This window comes from Homo sapiens, chromosome 13 (assembly GCF_000001405.40).
Source record: "Homo sapiens chromosome 13, GRCh38.p14 Primary Assembly".
Classification (NCBI taxonomy): Eukaryota; Metazoa; Chordata; class Mammalia; order Primates; family Hominidae; genus Homo; species Homo sapiens.
Genome location: NC_000013.11, coordinates 108913229 through 108936622, shown reverse-complemented (window position 1 = coordinate 108936622; position 23394 = coordinate 108913229). Strand labels below are relative to the sequence as shown.

The following is a 23394-nucleotide window of genomic DNA, read 5'->3' as shown; positions in this document are numbered from 1 at the left end:
TATTAGATAAAATATATTTTAAATCAGTAACAGTAAAAAAAGGACAAAGAAGGCATTATAACCACTCCTACAGAAATACAAATGATCCTCACAGACTGTTATAAATAGCTCTATGTGCACAAACTAGAAAATCTAAAGGAAATAGAAAAATTCTTGGAAACATAGAATCACCCAACATTGAATCAGGGAGAAACTGAAACACTGAACAGACCAATACCAACTTCTGAAATTAAATCTATAATAAAAAACCTACCAACCAAAAAAAGCTCTGGACCAGACTGATTCACAGCAAATTTTTACCATACAAAATACAAAGAAGAGCTGGTATCAATTCTAATGAAACTATAGAAAAAATTGGTGAGGAAGGACTTCTTTCTAATTCATTCTACAAAGTCAGCAGCACCCTGATAACAAAAGCTGGCAAAGACAGAATTTTAGAAAGAAAGAAAGAGAAAGAGAGAGAAAGGAAGGAAAGAAGGAAGGAAGGAAGGAAGGAAGGAAGGAAGGAAGGAAGGAAGGAAGGAAGGAAGGAAGGAAACTATAGCCAATATCCCTGATGAACATAGACACAAAAATCTCAACGAAATACTAGCAAAACAAATTCAATAGTACATCAAAAAGTTAAGTCACCATGATCAAATAAGCTTCATTCCTGGGATGAAAATTTGGTTCAATATACACAAATCAATAAATGTGGCTCACCACATAAACAGAATTAAAAACAAAAATTACATAATCATCTCAATAGATGTGAAAAAAAGTTTCTGATAAAATCCAACATCCCTTCATGATAAAAAAAAAAACCCTCAAGAAACTAGGCATCAAAGGAATACACTTCAAAATAATAAGAGCCATCTATGATAAACCTACAGCCAACATCGTACTGAACAGGCAAAAGTTGGAAGCATTCCTGTTGAGAACTGGAACAAGCCAATGATGCCGACTCTCAACACTTCTATTCACTAGGACTTCATAGTACCAGAAGTCATAGCCAGAGAAATCAGGGAAGAGAAAGAAAAGGCATTCAAGTTGGAAAAGAAGAAGTCAAACTATCTCTCTTTATTGACAATTTGATTCTATGCCTTGAAAACCCTGAAGACTCCACCAAAAGGCTCCTGAAGCTGATAAATGATAGACTTTAGCAAAGTTTCAGGATATGAAAGTTATGTAGAAAAATCTGTAGCATTTCTATACACCAATAATGTTCAAGCGGAGAGCCAAATCAAGAGTGCAATCCCTTTTACAAATGCCACATGCAAATACCTAGGAATATGTATAACCAAGGAGGTGAAAGATCTCTCCAAGGGTAACTACAAAACACTGCTAAAAGGAATTACAGATGACACAAACAAATGGGAAAACATTCCATGCTCATGGATTAGAAGAATCAATATCACTAATATGACCATACTGCCCCAAACAACCAACAGATTCAATTCTATTCCTATTAAACGACCAATGTCACTTTTTACAGAATTGGAAAAAACTGTTTAAAATTCATATGAAACAAAAAAAGAGCACGAATAGCCAAAGCAATGCTAACAAAAAGAACAAAGCCAGAAGCATCACATTACCCAAGTTCATACTATACTCTAAGGCTAGAGTAACCCAAACATGATGGTACTGGTACAAAAACAGACACATAGACCAATGGAACAGAATAGAGAGCCCAGAAATATAGCCACTTAACCACCGTCATCTAATCTCAACAAAGTCAGCAAAAGTAAACAATGGAGAAAGGACTCCCAATTCAATAAATAGTGTGGGGATAGCTATCTAGCCATATTCAGAAAAATTACAATGGACCCCTATCTTTCACCATATATAAAAATTAACTGAAAATGAATTAAAGATTCATTTTATAATACCTGGTAATTCATAAATGTAATACCTGCAGCAATAAGAATCCTAGATGAAAACCTAGGAAATGCCATTCTGGGCATGGACCTTGAGATAGAATTTATGATTAAATCCTCAAAAGCAACTGCAACAAAAACAAAAATTGACAAGTGAGAGAGACCTATTAAACTAAAGAGCTTCTGAACAACGAAAAAAACTATCAACAGAGTAAACAGGCAACCTACAGAATGGAAGAATATATTTACAAACTATGCATTTGACAAAAGTCTAATATTCAGAATCTATAAGGAACTTAAACAATTGAACAAGCAAAAAACAAATAACCCCTGTGAAAAATGAGCAAAAGACATCAACGGACACTTCACAAACGATGACACCCAAGCAGCCAACAATCATAAGAAAAAATGCTTTTCATCATTAATCATCAGAGAAATGTAAATGAAAATCTCAATTAGCTACCATTTCATACCAATCAGAATGGCTATTATTAAAAAGTCAAAAAACAATAGACATTGGTGAGGATGAGGAGAAAAGGGCTTGCTTATACACTGTTGGTGGGAATATAAATTAGTTCAGCCACTGTGGAAAGCAGTTTGGAGAGTTCTCAAGAAACTCAGAACACCATTCACCACTGATAACACCATTTCCTTTGTTATCCAAAGGAAAAGAAATCATTCTACCAAAAAGGCACATGCACTCACATGTTCTTTGCAGCATTATTCTCAATAGCAAAGACCTGAAATCAACCTAGGTGCCCATCAACAGTGAGTTCAATAAAGAAAATGTGGTACATATACACCATGGAATACTACACAGCCATAAAAAAGAATGAAATCATGGCCTTTGCAGCAACATGAATGTAGCTGGAGGACATTATCCTAAGTGAAATAAGTCAGAAACAGAAAAGCAAATATCACACATTGTTACTTATAAGAGGGAACTGAACACTGGGCTCATGGAAATAAAAATGGCAATGGTAGACACTAGGGACTACCAGAGGTGGGAGGAAGGTATAGGGGAAAGAGCTGAAAAAATAACTGTTGCGTACTATGCTCAGTACCTGGGTAAAGGGATCATTCGTACCACAAACCTCAGCATCACATAATATACTCAGATAAAAAAACCTGCACAGGTACTCCACAAATCTAAAACAAAAGTTGAAAAATAAAAATAAAATAAAATTTAGTAAGATCTATTTCCTGGGGTTATTGCAGGGATGCTTTTAATCTCATACACACACACATACACACACACACACACACACATCCAAATAATCGATCTTACATTATCGATATCTAATATATCTTAAAATAACCTAAGTCCACTGTATACTCTGGACTTACAATGAAGAGAAACAAAGAGCTTCTTCATTTCTTCAAGTAGGAAATATATTATTAGGAAAGAACAACTTGTTTAGTCCACTTCTGAGACCATGTGGATCAGATCAGCTGAAAGCATGCTCTCAGGCATTCCTGTCTGCATAACAATTCTTTATTTCTATCTCTGTCTATTCTCATTGAAGTTAATCTCCTACCAATTCCCAGAAGTCTTCTGTCCTCCAATAGCAATGCACTCCATGCATCTTGCCACACACAGTTAGTGAATGAAAGACAGAAGGAATGCCTTGGTATACTCTTTCTTTTGCTTGGATTTTCCTGCTCCACCAAGAGAACATTCTCATTCTGAAAATTCATCATGAGGACCTTCTGTTATTTGTAGCTCCCCCTGATGCCTTTCTCTGTCGTTCGCAGGCACATCCTCCACCTTCTGAATGCCAACATCCTCCAAGGGTATCTCTACCGTGGAATTCATCATGGGGTAGATATTGTCAGCTCAAAAGGAGAGCTGACATCTCAGGAAGTAAGGGACAGTCCATGGGCCCCCCACAGACTGCCACCTGATTCTCAGTGTCTGTGGGAACTTTGGCTTATTTTATTAATCAAGAGGTTCTGCTTCAAAGGACCAGTGCGGAAAGGGGGCACATTATTGGCCCTAGAAACTATGTAAGCCTGACGATCAAAAAGTCACTATCTCAGTGGGAAGGTATACCATGAAATCTCTGCCCACAGATGCACAGCCAGACAACAAGGAAACTTATCTTGGGTAGATACTGGGTGGGAAAATAAATGTCTATCCCTGGAGAAATCATGGCCACAGCCAGCCCTCTCTTGGTTTGAGAGGTTTCAACATAGACTGCACACGTCACCTGATCATTTTAATGAAGGAATTTAATGAATGTATTTATGGAATTAACATAAAAATAGTCCTTGGTTGGTAACACTCCGGAGGCCTTGACCAATGCCAAAGCAATCTCTAGAGAGCTAACCCTTGACCTAGGCCACACAAGACCTTCTCAGCCAAGCCAATGAGGAATACCAAGTCACACCCCAAACCACAAAACATGGAGAAATAATCTCACTGAGCAACCATCGGCAGGCAGAATAAGCAGCAGTAGGAGAAGCTCAATTACTTCACATATACGATGATTGCTTATAGATTATGTAATAAGCAGGTTTTAACAAAACAACTATGGATATAAAAAGAACTAGAAATATGAGAAAAGAACAAGAAACAGTATTTGAGAAAAAGACAGATTTGAAAAAGAACAAAGTGGAACTCTTAGAAGTGAACAAAAGTCATTGAAATTAAAATGCAATGCATGAGTTAAACTTCACATTAATCACCGTTCACAAAGGAATGAAGTGTAAGAAAGCACTGCAGAAATTATCCGGAATGAAGCACAGAGTGATACAGAAATGGAAAATGTAAAACAGAAATTAGAGGAGCAGAGAGAATCAGAAAGGACAGCATGTTTCTAAAAGGAATCTCAAAAGAAAGGAAGAAAAAAATGAAGAAGGGGGAACATTCACAAGGATCATGGCCAACAATTTTTCGAACTGGTAAAGTAAATGCATCAGATGATTTGCAAATCAGAAGAAGCCTTAAGCAGGATTAATTTTTAAAAACTAATATCTGGGGTTCCTGTGGTAAAACTAGAAATATAAGCCCACCCACCCCCATGTACACAGATGCACAGAGCAACATTTATTCACTCATTTTATCACATACCTATTATGTGTGAATGATGGTGCCAGGACTTATGGGCATAATGTTTCTTAAGTCAGGGTCCCAAATCTTATAATTTGTGCTTTATTGGGGATACCAGGAATGTAACGAATAATATACACCCCTGATGAATTCCACAGTACAGATACACACAGAGGATGCTGACATTCAGAAGTGGGGTGCGGGGACTACCTGTGCCTACAAATGACAAGGAAAGGCGTTGGAGAGAGCTACAAATAGCAGAAGGTCCTCAAGATGAGTTTTCAGAATGAGAATGTTTTCTTGGAGGAGGAGGAGAATCCAAGCAAAAGAAAGAGTATACCAAGGCATTCCTTCTGTCCTTCATTCACAGACATGTTTGGCGAGATGCATGGAGTGCATTGCTATTGGAGGGCAGAAGGCTTCTGGGAACTGGTAGGGGATTAACTTGAATGAGAATAGACAGAGATAGACACAAAGAATTGTTAGGCAGACAGGAATGCCTGAGAGCAGTGGTTTTAGAATTTTTTCCATCATAAAAACTTTAAATATGAATCATATGAATTCTAACATATAAAACAGGTGAAACAGCTGTTCAGATGGAAGAGCAGGTGTGTGAGTGTACACAAGTGTGTAAGGGTGTATTTACAGGGGAGCCCAGCGATTCAGACATCCTCCTCTCATGACTGCAGTTTCTCTGGGAGTGTCTTCATTGGATTCATTTTCATTCACAGATATTTTATACTTCAGCAGTATCTTAAAAAGAACTATTTCCATTTATCTATTTAATCTAAACTGTTACGGCTCACATATATGTGATATTTTCAATTTTGCATATGTTTACTTTATAACTCAAACTTTACTAAAATACAGTATAGAGCAAATGCTTTCCCATTGGTTTATTTATATTTGATTTTTCTAGGTGGACAAACATATTATTTACAAATAGTGGTATTTATAGTCTTAACTTTCTTGGTAATTTTTATTCATTTCATTTCTTTTCTTATGTTGATTAAAACTTGAGGATCAATGCTAAAAAGATACAGGGTTTACTTCACAATTAAGGGTGGTATCTCCTTGGGAACTTAGCATAATTTTTTTGTGTGTGAAATACTCCTTTTACTTCTAATTTAAAATAAGATTTGGGAAGTGACGTTTATCATCCTTTTGGCACCTTTTGAAATGGCCAATTGACTTTTCTTTTTTTACTTATGGATGTAATATATACTAAGACTTAAATTTCCTATGATTGATCATTGAGTATTTAATGGACTGCTAGATTATATTTGCTGCTGTTTTAATTATGTCTCTATCTTTGTAAGTCAAATAACCATCTATTATTGATATATCTCTTCATTTCATGGTGTCATAGATATGCTGGATTTTTTAATTAAAAAATTGATAATGAGAACAATTTAAAAATACAGAGAACTATAAAGACAGCCAATGTCATTCTCCAATAGTGTGAAAATAGCAACACTGAGCCATATTTACTTCAGTTTTGCTTTTTACAAATAAACTTCACAGATAAAGTTAACAATCCATCTATACACAATTATCCCCTTATTTGGTGAAGTAAGAATGATCAATTTTGCAATATGCTTTCAGTCTATTCAAACTGTTTTCACATTATATGTGTACATACCTATAAAATAAATAAGATTATGGGCATTTAAAATTATGAAAATGTTATTTATAGTGCATGCATCATTCAGCAAATTGCTTTTTGTTGACTTTAGGTTTATAGATCTATTCTTATTCATGCATATAGCTTAGGTTCATTTATTTAAACTATTTTAAAGTGCCACAATTATAATCAGATTAATTTATTCATTTCCCTAGTTATGATGGTTTACTTTCTTTTCCCTTTACTTGCATGTTCAGGAGACACATCAGTGAATAGCTAAGTACATTTTTTTTTAATGCATGTGTGGGTTTCTCTGTGCCAGGATTTCTCAAACACTGGGCAGCTGCCATGTGAGGTCGGATAGCTCTTTGCAGTCGGGTCCTCCCATGGAAGGCAGGACCTTGTGCTCCACCCACTAGATTCTGGAATTTGACTCCACCCACTAGGTTCCAGAATCCCCTCTCCTGAGTTGTGACAGCCAAAAAAAATCTCCAGATATTGCCAGGTGTGCTCCGTGGAGTAAGATCAACTATCATATGTATGATGGTGTGTTATGCACATTTCCAACTTTACCAAATATTGTGCACTGTTCTTCAAATTAGTTGTACTAATTTAAACCCTCATTAGGAGTGTGTGTGTCTATTTTCATATTACCTGCTTTTTGTTATTATTGAAAATGTTTTCATTGTGAAATGGTACCTCATTATTCTTTCAATTTCCAAATCCTTCATTACTTGTGGGAATATGCATCTTTCCACATATGTATTGGAACTTCAGCTTTTCACTTGTGCATATGCTGCCTTCTGGAAAAGGAACCATGGATTTCTTCATCTTTAATTTTTGTAATGGTTTAAACAATTTTGTATTCTTTGAAGATTTAAAAGTTCATGTTTAGGAACTTCCTGAGTTTGGCTCCTTCAGGATGGAAACAGTCTTGGTTTCTTCTATGTTATTCACATAATTTGATTTTTTAAAAATTTCATTTACAGTTAATTTTAGATCTGCACAAAGCATTTTTATTTATTTAGTATCACTGTATATGTGACTATACCTTTTGTTTTCATTACCAATTATCAACATTTAGTTTTCTAGTGACTTTGTTTACCTTTACTTCTGTATTTAGTTTCTAATTTTATTACATTATGGAGGGAAAATATGCCCTGTACAATTTCTGATTTTGTAAATTTATTAAGCTATAATCCATGACCTGAATATGGCCATTTTTAAAATAACTGTACTGCACGTGTCTGAAATATAGTTTGATATGAAAAGTACAGATTTTGGTATGAAGCTATCATTGGCTTACCTGTCATATCTTTGCTCATTATTTTACTTTTAGGCATTTTAAGCTGAAAAGAAAATACAGCTTTAGGTCCATTCCCTTTCTATGAATTTTTATTTTATAGTATTGGGTGTGGTCCTTGACATAAATTGTAAATGTACACAGGAGTTCACACACACTCCTTTTACCTAACAAACGACTCCATTCTTTTCTCTTTCAGTCATTTGTATATTTACTTCTTTATGTGTATCAGAAGTTAGTCTTTGCTTATACGTTGACATCCACTGGACATGACTTATTCAAATGCAAGAATTCCATGTTGCTCTTCAGAGATAAAACACATGGCATTATGAATATTAATTACCATTTTATTATATGTAATTATACATCCTATGCCATAACATATAATATTCTATATAACATTGCTGTAGATCCCTAGCTAATAGACTACATCATGTAATATAATGACACAGTGCCGTAACCATATTGCCAGTAGCTGAATGGACGCCTGCATTTACCGGACACGTGATGGGGCGTCTGGCACTTGCATTGGCCTTTCTGCCCCTCTGTCGTCGGTACACACTTCCTCACCTCCAGGCTGGTCCCATCATCTCTGCCCATCTCTCCCTGTGGCCCAGCTTCCTCTCTTTCATGGAAGCTGCTCCCATCCCTCTCTCCTTGTAGAGAAAGGAGAAAAGCCCCAGAAGGCAAGCGCATCGGCATCTGTTGGAAGATGTGACTGTGAAACGCAGAGCAAAGAAGGAGACAGGCTGGAGATGGAAGGGTAGAAGGTTCTAGAAACCTTACCCTAGTGCTTCAGGCAGAGCCATTGCTGGGCAATTCCTGGCCCCTTTACTGAACTGGTGGAAATCAGTGTGGTGGCGCGAGATGGTGCAGCCTAGAGCGCATGCTCAGGCTCCAGGCCAGGTGCACGCGTTGGCCCGGTGACCTCGGGCACTCCGGAGTGCAGATCTCTCTGCCTTGCATTTATTTCCTTATCCGTGGAGAGGGCAGGAAACGCCTGCCTCGTGGAACTGTCATGATGGCTCGGGTTAGTTGAATTCCTGTGCAGGGCTCCACACCTCCAGGGCATGCGCAAGGACAGAGCCATGTCTGTCCGTCCGCTTGGCATTTTCACACGCTGCAGAGCATGTGGCATGTCTCCTCCCTCATCTCAGAGAAAATTTCATGAAATTTCAAAAATCATGTAAAATATAAATATACTTCCATGTCAGAAAGCCTTATTTGAAAATCAATCCAGAAATCTTGGGATGTCTTTGGGTGTTCTGGGAAGCTCTAGAAGGGTGGCTCCCACTGCACCTAATTGGCCTGCAGCAGGGGTCCTCAGCAGGGCATGTGAGAATCAAGGATGGCAAGTCCCAGTGCCTGGCTCATGCCCCAGGCCCATTATACCAGAGGCATCAGGAAGTCAAAGGCCTCAGAGGTATGACACTCGCCAAGGGATGTTGAAAAATCACTCATTTAGAAAGATCATCCTTGTTGTTGGGTGGAGGAAGGCAAATAGGAGAAAAGATTCTAAATGCCGAAAATGCAAATATAATGCATTATTTACCACCATCTCACTTAGGAGAATCACTGGCATTTGGGGCTGGCACACTCATTTTCTCTAAGTGTGTTTTTTCCTGTGCTATATCTTCATCTGGGACAGTCTCTCTCTCTCTCTCTCTCTCTTCAGTTGTTGACAGATGGCTTCACCTCTGTTCACTCGGGAGTCATGCTATCCAAGACATGGCTCTTGACTGAGGGCCACGTGTGTACCTTGTTGTCATGCTACACTCTGAGATATGCACCGTGCCAGGGGCCTTTCCCATACCGGGACTCTAGAAATTCATTTTAGTATTTATCACAGTTGACAGTGCCTGTAGCCTAAACAGAACTACGTGCAATCTGAAAATAAATTATTTCTGTGGTATGTTTTTTTTAAAAGATGTTGTTTAACACCGTCTATTCAAAAGGAGCATTGATTGTGAATTGGATCAACTTCATCAGTGCTTTCACTGTTGATGATTTATTCTTCCAGTAAGGAAAGAGCCTTTCTGGGATGAGGCCACCACCCCTGGTGAATGTCGATGGCACTGCTCTTACTTCTCTCCAAAAACTGCTTGAGAAAACATCACTCCTATTTCTCCTTTTCCATGTTAGCCTGCTGGTCTCTAGATGACAGGTTCCACTCACGCCCTCCTGTTCCTGGTGACTTTTTCATGAAGCCCTCGGGAGAGTCCTGTGTGTTCGTTTCTCTCTGGCTGGCTCCCGACCCCTGCTTTTCACTTCTCCTGCGCCTGAGCACGATGCCTCCTTGAGTGCACCCGAGATTCTTCAGTTATATGTTGGGGATGTTTCTCACATTGCAATTTGATGCCTATATGCTATGACTTAGACTTTGAACAATTTGACTTTAAGCAACTTTAGAGCAGGGACCATCTCTTATTTTTTCATCTTCAGAAAGGAGCATTGTACTTCAAATACAATAGATAATAGCTACTCTTTGAATCGGAGATAGAAAGAGTGAAGACTGCGACTCTGTGCAACAGACTCCTTGGTATTGGTCGCCTCTGCAGCCTCTTGGATGGCTGGTCTTCTAGACACCTCCCTTTCTCTGGTCAGTACACACGCTGAAACACGTCAGTGTATTTCATTCTGGGAAGGCCTCTGTCAACACAGGATGTCTGAGTAGAGATCTGAAAATTAAGGAGGTTTCCAAATGGAGGTCTGGAGGACGAGCCATGGAGCACGCGGCTCTGAGTCTTTGTGCGGTCAGAACAAGGTGGCTGCAGTGGCATCCTGGTGACAGTGGCAGAGACTGGAAGGGAGGCTGCAAGGGCCCAGGGGAGGAGGATGAATTCTGTTCTACTGTCCAAGGGAAACACTGGAAGCCTTTAATGGGGGCAGGAAGGGGTCAGTGAGAGGATCAGACTTCTACTTTAGAAAGCACACTCTGAACCACTCAGTGGGGCATGACTTTTCATGGGGGCCAGTCAGTGTCAGGGAGTCCAACAGAAAGGCTTGAAGACTTTCAGGTGGGAGATGATGGGAGCGAAGTCCTGTACTGCAGCAGAGAGATGGAGAGACGTAGACGGGTTTGTTACATGTTCAGGAGGCAGAGCCAGAAGGACTTGCCGATGGGCTGGTGTGAGAGGAAGGATGAGAGCCAAGAATAACATTCCAGATTTTAGCGTGAGTGGAGATGCCATTTACTGGGACAGGGAAGACTTGGTGGGGGAACCAGGTTCTTTAGGTGAGAAAGTCAAAATGTTCAACCCAAAGCCATTAAAGATTTGCAATAAAATATTATACTACCACTATTTAATTACTTGCACTTATAAATCATATTATACTTACTTATCTCTGGCCCCACCGTCAATAATTTAAGACCATCCATACTACCTCTACCAACAAGTAAGTAAAAGGTGAGGTTCAGAGAGAGCCTGCAATGTGCTCAGCAGCACAGGAAGAGGAGTGGCGGAGCTCGGTTTAACTCTAGTTCATCTCTGTGACACTCGCCCCAATTGCCCCATTGTCACTCCTGAAAGCAAACACACCACAATGACTTCATTGTTTTAAAAGATAAGTTAAACATCTTAAAGGATGCCCACAGAGAGATGCCGGGACCAGTGAGAGAGTGCCGCCCTTTCAGAATCAAGGACACCCAAGTCACTCCACCTTCAACTTCCCTTGGCTCTGGGTGCCTCTGGATGATGCTCAGCAAAATCCAAAAAATGACTCTGTGTACTTAATTCTGAACAACACAGTGGCAGGAAAACACATGGGCCCATGAACTCCCACCTTCTATTCCCAGAAAGACAAGTACGGCCCTTTCCTATGTTGAAAACGGGTTTGTTTTAGCCACCAAAATATATTTAAGAAGAGATGACACATTCAGAGCAACAAAATTCAGAAATCATTTATTCGCTGCTATGAATTAACGTGAAAAGGTTAAACTGAATACGTCAGGGTGCGGCAACAGACGTTAAGCTGAACAAAACCCTCTAGCCTGACTGATAGCAGAAGACGTGACGTCAGGAGTGAGTCGCCATGCCATGCTGTGTTGCTGGGAAGACCCCTGTGGGTGTGCACAGGCAACTGCCACTGTCTTCCTTTGTATAACAAGGAAGTGCCCTAGCTAGCAATACAGAGACTAAAGTAATGAAAAACAACACAGCACTTATAAATCAGTAAGCAGGGTACGTCTGGGAACATGGTTCTACTGAATCTGGATCTAAGCGATTCCATTCGTACTCAGGAATCATGTATTCAAGTACCTGACTTGAATAATGATCATTTCTTCCTATTGAAGTTCAAGCATCATCGACCATTCTGACAACACGGGGTGAGGGTGGCTCCCTGGAGCACCTTATTAGGATGATTGCTCAGCAGGTTGTACTTGCAAAGGGGAAGATACTCTGTAGAGTTGGAAGGTGGGAAGCACAGTTAATGACTTTCCCGTGACTCAGAAAAGCAGGAGCTCAGCTCTAAGCTGTTTTGGAAGCTTCGTTTAGATTGGAGTCCCAGGAAGAATGGTCTGACACACATTCACATGACTGCATCACATCACTATTTACATGGCTACAATATCTCGTGACACTTTGCACATATTCTGTTGTGTCCAGCTGGGCAAAATGATAGGGCCAAGTATCCTACTCAAATGAATTTTTAATGTATATAAACATAGAGATTACTGGGCATATTTTAACATATCTTTGGACTTTATGGCCCTAAACTGATGGTGGAAGATGGCAGAAACCCTTTTCTGTCTCTAAGATTTTATGAGGAAGCTTCATGGCCCAAAGAGTTCAATAGTAAAAAGATACCAATGTCAAAACGGAAAAAGTTAACAACATGAAATGTAACGGCCTATACAACAATGCCAATATGTCAGTTCCAAAATCACAGTATGCAAATGCTGGCTGGGAAAAAATGCTGATCTAAGAATAATTCATGTAAAATGCAAAATCTACGTATGCTTGTTGATGAGGTTTACTATGAAGTCACGGTGTGGCAGAATCACACAAACAAGCCAAAGACAGAAAAGCCAAAAGTGCTCAGCCTGAATTCTGAGAATCCTGAATCTGCAAGGAAAAGGAGACACTAAGAAGCAGAGGGGGAAGAGAGGTCTGCAGGCTGAGGGCTCCGGACCCAAACACCCCGGCCGCATTGGGGCAGTGAAAGCAGGAAGGCGAGGGCCCCACACCGAGGTGGGTAGTGAGGCGCTGGCCAGCGGGTTGGCCATACCAGCCCGAGCTGGTGTTCCCTCTCCTTTCTCCTTCCTCGCTGTCCAGGCAGCGCCTGCTGTGTGGGAAACCCCACTGCCCTTACCAGTCTGCCTGGACGGATCCCTCCACTGCTCCAAACAGTGCTGGCTTCACCTGTCCCCCTCCTCTGAAATAACTCTCCTAGTGTCAGTAACTGCTAGCAAAAGCAATGACTGAGCTGTACTGCCTTCACCTTATTACAAGTTCCTGTAATTGCTCCCTTCTCTCCTGTGTCTGAATTTCCCATTCCTATCTGTTTTCAACCGTGTTCTGAGGTCATCCCGCATCTTGCGAGAGTGACACCTTGGACTGGGGCACAAGATGGATACACGCAGCCCCCAGGTCTTCAGGGGCTCAGGCCTCTCCTTCCCTGTGAGTGGCCCTTACTCTAGGTGCTCCTGTCCTTTTGTGGGTCATTGCAAATACCGCCACAAAATCTTTCACCTGTTTTTACGAATCAGGGTTTGAAAGGCAAATTGTGAAGTGCGTAAGAGAAGCCCAAACAAAACCGTGGCTCTCACGCTCCTAGCATGTGACTGGGAGGTTCATGGAACCTCTCTTTGTGTTTGCTTTTTCATGAGTAGCAAGGGGAGCAACCTGCTTCTAGACTGGGCTGTGGATAGGGGGAGATAACATATGTCAAGGTTTTCGTATAGTCTCCCTCCTAAACTCAGTGCTGAACAAATGTTGGTTATTGTCATTTTAATTACATGATTTAAAGTATTAGATTCAAAGTGCTAATTCCTATTATGGCATAGAAGGTCATTTCAGATTCCTGTGCACACACATAAACACACATTTTGTTTTTATCATAGGATTCTACCTAAATATCCACAATATGTCATCAACTCCAAAACCACCCATAACTCCTACGACGTATGTCTGGTTTGAACCTGATAGGCTCCACCTGAAGAGTTTGACAGATGACAGCAAATCGCACATTCCAAATCTTATTGACTTCGCCATCTCTGATTACATAAGCACCGGATTTTAGACGTGAAGAAAGTCTCTCTTTTTTCCTCCTCTAGCTGGTACAGAAAATCAAAGCATTTTAAGCCATGAGAATGGAATTTTTTTTGTACCAGGGAAGACGTGAAAGAGGGAGTTTTACAGAAGTGTTCGATTGCTGCCTTTTTAAAGATCTCTCTCAGCAGCGTGGCCCTCTCTGTCCCTGTGCCATGAGGGACACACAGAAGCTGAGCCTTGCGCTGGCATGTAACCAGGTTCTGGCTGCCCCACCCAACAGGCCTCCCAGGGCTCTGCAGTCCTCTTTCCTCCTCTTTCCTCTCCTTGTCCATTCTCAGCCACCCTCACTTCAAAATGCTGGGTTGATTTTCATCATTAGGTTTTAAATCATTTAAATTCGTAATTCCTCACAGCTACATGATGAATCCAAGTCCAGACCCCAGTTGATGTCCAACAAGAGAGGGTGGACACAGCTCTGGACAGAGCCGCACAGAGGCAGAGACGTACGCTAGGAGCAAGACCAGACCCCACTTATTCCACGTATTATAAACCTCTAACTCCAAATCATAACTTTTGCATAACAATTATTATTTCAGTTATTCTCACATGACTCCAATGGGAAGGAGCCTTCTACACTAATAGTGACAATACTAGCCAACGCTTCCACTGCACTCACTCCGTCACTCACAACCATACTCTGAGGCTACTCCTGGCCTACAGATGAGCAAAGGGAAGCACAGAGAGGTTGCATGATTTTCCCAAACCCCCCAGCCAGGGAGATGTAGATCCTGGATTAAGTAAACTCTGTGCCTTCAACTAATAAGCCTGCTGCTTTTAACAGTTCAAGCATAGTTATCAATGAATACTCACAAATTGCAAAAGACAGTCAGTCACCCTGTATTGAGGATATAATCTCTCTAAATGGCTGCAGTCATGGAAGATTCGATTTTATAGGCCTACACACCTAAAAGCTATGATTTTGCTAACAGCTATTGATGTATATCAATTGATTTTTGCAATGTCCTATATCAATAGGACAAAGAAAAGCATTTTATCTTCAACTGTGCCACATGTATACTATATGTCCTGCAAGCTACAAAGGAAACTTCAAAGATGGGGAGTGCATATGGAACACACTGATAAGAGAGCATTTTATGTATCATGTGTAAGAATGGTCACCAATGGTCACTGTGTCAGCAAGGGGACAAGGCCAGGCTGGAGTAGATTTGGACTGGGACATGGACCATGATCCACCCAGGTTCCTAGGAGCTCAGGCCAACCCACCCAGCAGGTCTGTCAGAAAGAGGTGGTCACTCCAGACCCAGAGGAAGGCCCGGTGGACAAGGTGGCTTGGGGTTGCCCGGTACAAGCGGCAGGATGTCCTATGAGGTGGGAAGAGACTGGCAGGAGAGGTTGAGAGAAAAAGAAACACCGACTATATCAGCTGAACAGTGACTACACTGGTGAGGCAGACGGGCTTGGTCCAGTGTGTGATGCTGTTTGCTACAGCCACATGGGCAGGTTTTGGAAAGAAGGAGACAGGTTCACACACACATGTGGAACTGTGCAGGTGTCCCTCTCAAATGGCAGTGGGGTCTCCAAGCAGACATTTGGGCCACGCTCTGCAAACTGCATTGGTCTATGAGGGCCACACCTCCAGTGACCAGCCACATCACAATCACTGGCAAAGTCAAGCAAGTGTCCTCTAAAATCTGAGCCTCTTTCACATCTCCATATGGTTCATTATTTAAGATACGAAAATAAATATCTCTTATTTATACGGAATAAACAATGTTAAAGAGACAGAGACAGATGGCTGGGCATAGTGGCTCACGCCTGTAATCTCAGCACTTTGGGAGGCCAAGGTGGGCAGATCACCAGAGGTAAGGAGTTTGAGACCAGCCTGGCCAACATGGTGAAACCCCGTCTCTACTAATAATACAAAAATTAGCCGGGCGTGGTGGCAGGCACCTGTAATCCCAGCTACTCGGGAGGCTGAGGCTGGAGAATCGCTTGAACCTGAGAGGTGGAGATTGCAGTGAGCTGAGATGGCACCATTGCATTCCAGCCTGGGTGATAATAGTGAAACTCTGTTTTTGTTTTTAAAAAGAAAGAGAGACAGAGACAGAAAGAGATGACAGGGAAGGAAAGAAAGAAAGAGAGAGAGAAGGAAGGAAGGAAGGAGAGAGAGAGAAGGAAAGAAAGAGAGAAAGAAAGAAAAAAGAAAGAAAAAGAAGGGAGGGAAAGAAGGAAGGAAGGAGAAAGAGAAAGAGAAAGAAAGAGAAAGAGAAAAAAAGGAGTGGAACAAAAGGCAGAGGTCTATTTTGGAAGCGAATTCAGAGCCTCCTTGTCCAGACACAGAAGCAGGTTTATCAACCATTTTTAGCAAACATCTGCGTCGTGGTCCTTCAACGTAAGGTAAGTCCTTAACTTGGTGAGAAACATAATGACTGCCATGTTTTCAGTCCTCAACAAGCTGGATTACACAGTTCACAGCCCCTTCTCCTAAACTTCTGAAGACAAATATGTTCTGAAATCCAGATTTTAAAAAAGTGAATGTAGTGTTTATATCCTTGGTAGGTTTGAAGCAGTGTCCCCAGTCAAATATTTTAATTTGGGGAGAACCCCATATGAATATTCACAGTCAGAGAAATATGTAAGAATTATAAATACACTTACATCAATCAAGTTTAGATTTTGTTGCTAAGTAAGTTCAGGTTGGGTCATGTTTTTTATGAGCACATGAGTCATACGTGAATGTTTGGTTTTCAGAACTTTTGGGAATTTGAAATTAAAAGTAAGCAATCAAGGACGTAGACCAACATGCCTTAAATTCATAATTTTATTTACTCATAACAACCCTGAGAATGTTTGTGACATTTAACTGACTGACTGCAGAAGTGAGGCTGGAGTGTTTGACTCTCTCTCAACACAAGAAGGACTTTCCCTTTTATACCCTGAAGGTAAATACACTGCTTGCACATCTAGCATCAAGCAAACATCTTTACTCAGCCAAGAACTGTGTCACCTCAATGATAACCAACTCCACCCCTAAAGGAGAAGATGTCAAAGAACCGGTTAACGACAATCGCTCACGCCAAATTCCCCAAGGCCCAGCCATCTCTGTCGCCTTGCGTCATCAAGCAGACTGCATTGGATGTGACAGAAAAGCAATATTTATTAAAGATTTTTGAGTTAGGAGGTTTTATAGTTAAATTGAAATTCAAAATATGTTAATCTGACCTGAGATTAAAGGGTGAGATTGAAGAGGCACCAAGGTAAGATGCTGTGCAGTGAGGGAAGGTGGGGCAGGAAGGGCCCAGCCAGGGCCATGGGACTGCATGGCAATATGCCAGCACCTGCCCTGCCTCAGGAGAAAAAGACATGATAGCCACAATGCTCGTGGCACCTCTTTTTTATACACATGACTGGGAAGACGGCCTCGCTCAAATAGGAAGTACAAGGGCCAGAAACAAAACTCTGAAAAGAGCCTGAGTATCTGGAGAAAAAGTCTATTTCCAGCTGTTTTCCCCAAATCGTGACTATCTGGACATTGGCCTCAGGTTTTTATGTCAAAACAGAGTATAAGTTTGAGTGTAAGTTTTTTTTTTTTTTTTTGTTCTGTTTTCTGAGACAGAGTCTCGCTCTTGTTGCCCAGGCTGGAGTGCAGTGGTGTGATCTTGGCTCACTGCAACCCCCACCTCCTCCCAGGTTCCCGCGATTCTCTTGCCTCAGCCTCCCAAGTAGCTGGGACTGCAGGCACCTGCCTCCAAGTCTGGCTAATTTTTGTATTTTTAGTAGAGATGGGGTTTCACCATGTTGGCCAGGTTGGTCTCGAACTCCGGACCTCTGGTGATCTGCCCGCCTCGGCCTCCCAAAGTGCTGCGATTACAGGCGTGAGCCATAGCATCAGACCAAGTTTCTAAACAACACAGCTGGCCGTCACCTCCTCAAGGACAAACAGCATTAGCAGTCAGTGGCCAGGACTGCTGGAGATAGGCCCTCCCTCTCTGCTGAGAGATGGGCCACTGGGCACCATCTCTGGCCTCCTGCCTTGCCTGACCTTGAGCAGGCTGCTACTTAACCTCTAGGACTCAGTGTCCTCATTCATCAAATAGGGACAATATTAGTAACAGTCTCATAGAGTTATTAGAAGAATTAAGTGAGAATTAATTACTGAGTGTTGTGCCTGACACTCAAAATTTTAGTGAAGGTAGTTTCTTGCGCAATTTTATATGCATGTGCAGTTGTGTGCACACGTTTATTTATGTGTTTATTATGTGAATACACCATCTTAATGACGTTGTATTTGGTATATTTATATTTGGCTTAATGATGGTCTATTTTCATAATAAAAATCATAATTATGCTACTATCATCCAAAATATGAAAAAGAAAGGAGAAGGGTTAAGATGCTGATTTTAGCAAATAGTTCTCTTGCTGAAGCAGAGGCAGTTAAATTTATCTGTGATGCAAATTCCTTTACTATATGGAATCATTTGAAAACCATTCACAAAAATAATTGAGAATCGAACAGGTTGAAGTTCAAACATCAACTCTGCCCCATGCTGGTTAGTTAACAAAGCAACCGCAGTTCTCAGTCACTTCGTCTGCAACACGGGGAAATCAATTATAATCTTCCACAATTATCATGAGTAGACAAAGAGAAAATCTATGAGAAGTGCTCAATGACAGCTGTTATTAGCTTCAGAAGTATCACAAGGGTGACAACAAAACCAACACAGCAGCCAAAACAATGTGTCATCACATAATAAATTTGACCATTTAAAAGTAATGTAGAAGTCTGAATTTTTGAGATATATTCAGACCACAAATATAGGGCCTCTGGCCAAAATTCTCTTATGCTAACTATTTAATGACATTGTGGCTTAGGCAGATCATGCTGCTGTCTTAACCTCATACAATATTTTTTGAAAACATCCATACGAATCAAAGTCATGTGGAAATACATTGCAATATTCATCTATAGGCTTCATGCAATAGATCTACACTATTGATGGTCCTGTATGAGTAGCTGGAAATCAAGGTGATAAGTTTGGCCAGAGTTACTAATAGAGAGTGCTGAATAACTGGTACCCAGACTTACTGACACTTGCATTCTGACCTTCACCTGCCGGGCTGGGAGTCTTTCAGGTAGTTGGAGTGCCATGCAGGGGAAAGCACAGGGCCTCATGTTGCTCCTTGCTCATTAGTGCTCAGCTCTCCCTTCCCCTTCCTCCTGTTAAATAGCTCCCATCCCTACGCAGGAGCCAAATGTATTTCTTCCTTCTGTCCTTAACTTAGGGGCCCGGGATGGGCCTAAGACCTGGGCTGAGCCACCAAGATGGCCTTTTGGCAGAGAGACGAGTTGCTCTTAAGTTAGGGGGCCTAGGGCAGCACGTGGTCACGTTCTCTTCTGTGTTAGAAAACACATACAAAGTAAAACTGATGTGTGTGTGTGCGTGCGTGCATGTGCCATGTGCATGAGTGTGACAGAGAGAAGCCGCATTTGAGTTTCTGCATCTCACATTCGAGTTTCTGCATCTCACATTCCTGGGGCAAACATAACCTCCGCTCTCTTCAGCTACGCCCTCATCTCAACACTCCCCCTTTTTCTTTTTTCTTTAAATGTGTTAGAGTTGGGAATCTAACACTACCAATCAAGAAGTTCCAATGAACAGAAATTTGAAACCAAACGTACCTTAGTTTGAAATCCACCTCTGTCATTTACCAAATATTCCAGCTAAATATCCTTGAACAAGTGACATATCTGGCTTCTGATTTATTATATATAACATCAAGAACAGAAGGCAGGACGGAAGCCACTGACCCAATTCCTCTCATTCTCATTTCAAAGTGAAATGTCCTTGCTAACTTACACAGGTAGTCTAACACTCATATAATGGCTACACTGTCCACCTAGGGTAACAAAAGCTCTGTTAGTTCTAAAATTTTTATGATCTTCTAGATTAAAATAAAGACCTAGCGTAGTTTGTTTTTATAGTCATTAGAGGTGGCAATCCCTAGAACGTCGTAAGTTAGTTTTGCTTCAGCAATGCAAAATAAAGACAGACATGCAGACTTTGACTTTGTGCTTTCTCTTTCATTTGCCTTAAAATCTCAGTGACACGAGGAGATAAAGACAGTATTGCCATTTTGTAGGCAGCATTGTTGTGGAGACAATTTAGGCATAAATTCAGCAGGGCCTGGATTCAGATCTTGGCTACTGGGTGACATCTCACTATACAATACAGACACAGCCTTGCACCCTCTGCTTAGCTGCGGGTGAGGATTCAGTGAGTGAACAAACACTTCAGAGAGTGCCTGGCACATGGGAAGTGCCCCATGAACTGTGCTGATCATGACTGTGACTGTCACTTAGGTTATTAATAATGGAGTCTGTGAGAATCTGGTGAAAGCACCTCCTGTCTTGAACTTTTGTCTTGGGAGCACCTTCAAGCTACTTACTAAGTAAACAGCTTATTATAGCACATAATTATGAAGACTCACCTCCAAATAGTATTTAAGTTTTCCCTTACCTCTTTTTAAACATTATGTGACACTCTCAGATTAGGTTCCCTGTTCATAATAAGCCCTTAGCAGAAACCAAACCTTCACGGGAGCTGCTTGCCGTGGCTTCCCCGTGACAGGTACGGCTCCCAGCAGGATCACAAGTTCAAGCGCGCGGTGACTCAGCTTTTCCTTTCATGGCCACATGGGTTAGAAACAGGTCACATGCTCTGAGTCAAACACTGCTTGTTTTCAACTTAGCATTCAAAATTTGACCTTTACTCACAAATGTTATCCTGCAGCACCACAATCATTTCCACCATTAATCAATACAAAAAGAGATTCAGAATAACTTTTTGGATTTAGGAACCTAGCTTTTCTGGGACTAAACCCATCTAAGCTATTTAAAGTATGCTGAAGATAAACAATGAATGACTATTTCTGGCTTTCATTAAATCTCAATTCCCAAAAGCAGAAATTACATTCGTTCCCCAAATGTAACGTTTGTATAATATACAAAGGGTAAGAAAAATTGAAATAGCCCTTGTAAAACAAACAGCTGCTGGTGAGGGGGTTAGGGGGAAGCAGTCAATATAGGAAGAACCGTAAGTGAAAAAGAAACTTTTGGTAACAAGCATTTGTGTTTGTGTTTCTTCATTTTTCTGTTTTTATTTTAATTTCTTGGTTTGGATTTTTGTTTTGTTTTGTTTTTCTCGTCTGACTTTATGGAGAGCTCGCCATCTTGTGGAATTCCAGATCCGTGCAGTCTTACTGCCACAGCTCAAAATATAGAAACCTACAGACTTTTTTTCTTGTTGTTTTAATAATCTGTGGAGGAAGATGCTTATGCAAAGTGTTATAAATACTGTTTTCATGCAGCTAAGCCTTAGGAGGTGATGTCTATATCTGTATCACTTATATTCTAAAGTTAGGCACACGTCCTATCTGCTGTTTCTAGATATCATTCCTATGTTACAAACAGGAAAGTAGTTTTACATTCATTTTATGCTGAAATAAACCTCCATAAATTTTCATGTGATACTTTCAACATTTTTAGTTCTAAAAACAGAGTCAAAGCTAAACAGCACTTTTGTAGCTTTAATGATAAAACCAAATTACAGGTCGGGCGCAGTGGTTCATGCTTGTGATCCCAGCACTTTGGGAGGCTGAAGCAGGTGGATCACTTGAGGTCAGGAGTTCAAGACCAGCCTGGCCAACATGGTGAAACCCCGTCCCTACTAAAAATACAAAAATCAGCCAGATGGGGTGTCATGTACCTGTAATCCCAGCTATTCAGGAGGCCGATACAGGAGAATCGCTTGAGCCAGGGAGGCAGAGGTTGCAGTGAGCCAAGATAGCACCACTGCACTCCAGCCTGGGCGACAGAGCAAATAAAAGAAAAAAAAGGGAATTACAGCAATGTTTTCTTCTCTCTGGAGGTCTAATCACATAAGATACGATAAGTATTGAATATGCCTTTAGCTCACAGTTACTGATGCATGTATATTTTATTTTGATTCATGTATCTAGTGAGTTGCTATGAAGGAAGAAGAGAGAGAATGAATTTGAAGGAAGAAGGCTTGTAAGTTTTGTAGTGTTTGCTTTAGGACTTAGTGTACTTCATCCAAATTCCACTAAAAGCTACACTGTGGGATAAGTGAGTGAGCAAAGAGATGCTGTGTTCATGTGGTCACATGTAGGCTGGTTTATTCTACATCATAGGAATAGCAATATTATTTTGAAAAACATCAGACAAGAAGATGTGACAATAATAATGCCATTCTTAATAATAGTAGATATACTACATATAATATAGTAAATATAATACATATATTAACAATAGTAGATACAGTAATTATTAACAATAGTAGATATAATTATCTACTTAATAATAGTAGATATACTACATATAATATAGTATATATAATACATATATTAACAATAGTAAATACACTAATTATTAACAATAGTAGATATAATTATCTACTTAATAATAGTAGATATACTACATATATGTAGAATCAGGCAGCCCCCAGAATCACAGCAGATTCAGAGAGACTCCAGGGATGCCTCGTGGTCAGAACAAATTTATAGACAAAAAAAGGGAAGTGCCATAAAGAAATCGGCAGTGAGGTATAGAAACAGCTGGATTGGTTACAGGTTGGTGTTTGCTCTATTTGAACAACTGAACACTCAGCAGTCTATCAGTGGTTGAAGTATGGCCGCTGGGATTGGCCAAGACTCAGCTATTGTTACAGGCACATACACCTAAGTTGGGTTTTCAGTCTTGTCTGCCTATTAAGCTAGGTTATAGTTCGTCCACAAGGACTCAAATACAGAAGCACGGAGTCCTCCTCCAGCCATATTTAGTTTGCTTTAACATATGGTATTGAGCATTTTACAAATAGCAATATCCTTTACCTATGGGTACCAATTTTAAGGAAGGGATTCAGAAGACCATCAGTTTGTGAAAGGTTAGAAAGCTCGCAAATTCAGGTTTACATTTCTAATTGTGAACAAGCCAAACAGTTTCCAAAACTATGGAACTTAATACTCATAATTACCAAATAAAGATTAGATACCAACCTAAATTTAAACATTAAACAAATATGAACTTCTCAAACCCAACCGACATTGCAAAAGTGAGAAGATCCACCAACATTATAAATGTGAGAAGACCTGTATAACATAAACAACAAAAAATACTGTATACATACTATGTTATAACTTGAAAAACAGCTTGCTTTACCGTTAAAGTTTTCCTGTGAAATTGTCATTGTACAAATGCTCCAACTGATGTATTCATGAATCTGGAGGGTGGTGGGTGGTGAATA

The 23394-nt window shown here is 40.5% G+C and overlaps 1 protein-coding gene across 7 annotated transcripts in view, besides 2 other annotated features; it reads right to left on the bottom strand.

Moving 5' to 3' along the window:
• MYO16 (myosin XVI) overlaps positions 1 to 23394 on the bottom strand; it is a 712290-nt gene that overhangs the window by 271383 nt on the left and 417513 nt on the right. Inside the window, exon 1 of one of the 7 annotated variants that reach the window (XM_047430185.1) lies at positions 20590 to 20722. The exons of the other annotated variants lie outside the window; for them this stretch is intronic. Coding sequence (XP_047286141.1) covers positions 20590 to 20603 — 14 coding nt within the window. The 5' untranslated portion in view covers positions 20604 to 20722. Of the gene's footprint in view, positions 1 to 20589; positions 20723 to 23394 lie in introns of those variants that run through there. 7 annotated transcript variants of the gene reach the window in all.
• Positions 17300 to 17469: an enhancer, noted in NCBI's record as "experimental_32390 CRE fragment used in MPRA reporter constructs". NCBI's record gives its function as "activates a minimal promoter by MPRAs in K562 erythroleukemia cells, with activity observed for both the introgressed and non-introgressed 13:109571587 variant alleles {active_cell/tissue: K562}" and the evidence as "EXISTENCE:reporter gene assay evidence [ECO:0000049][PMID:34662402]".
• Positions 20688 to 20817: an enhancer, noted in NCBI's record as "active region_7989". NCBI's record gives its function as "activates an Ori minimal core promoter by ATAC-STARR-seq in GM12878 lymphoblastoid cells {active_cell/tissue: GM12878}" and the evidence as "EXISTENCE:reporter gene assay evidence [ECO:0000049][PMID:35858748]".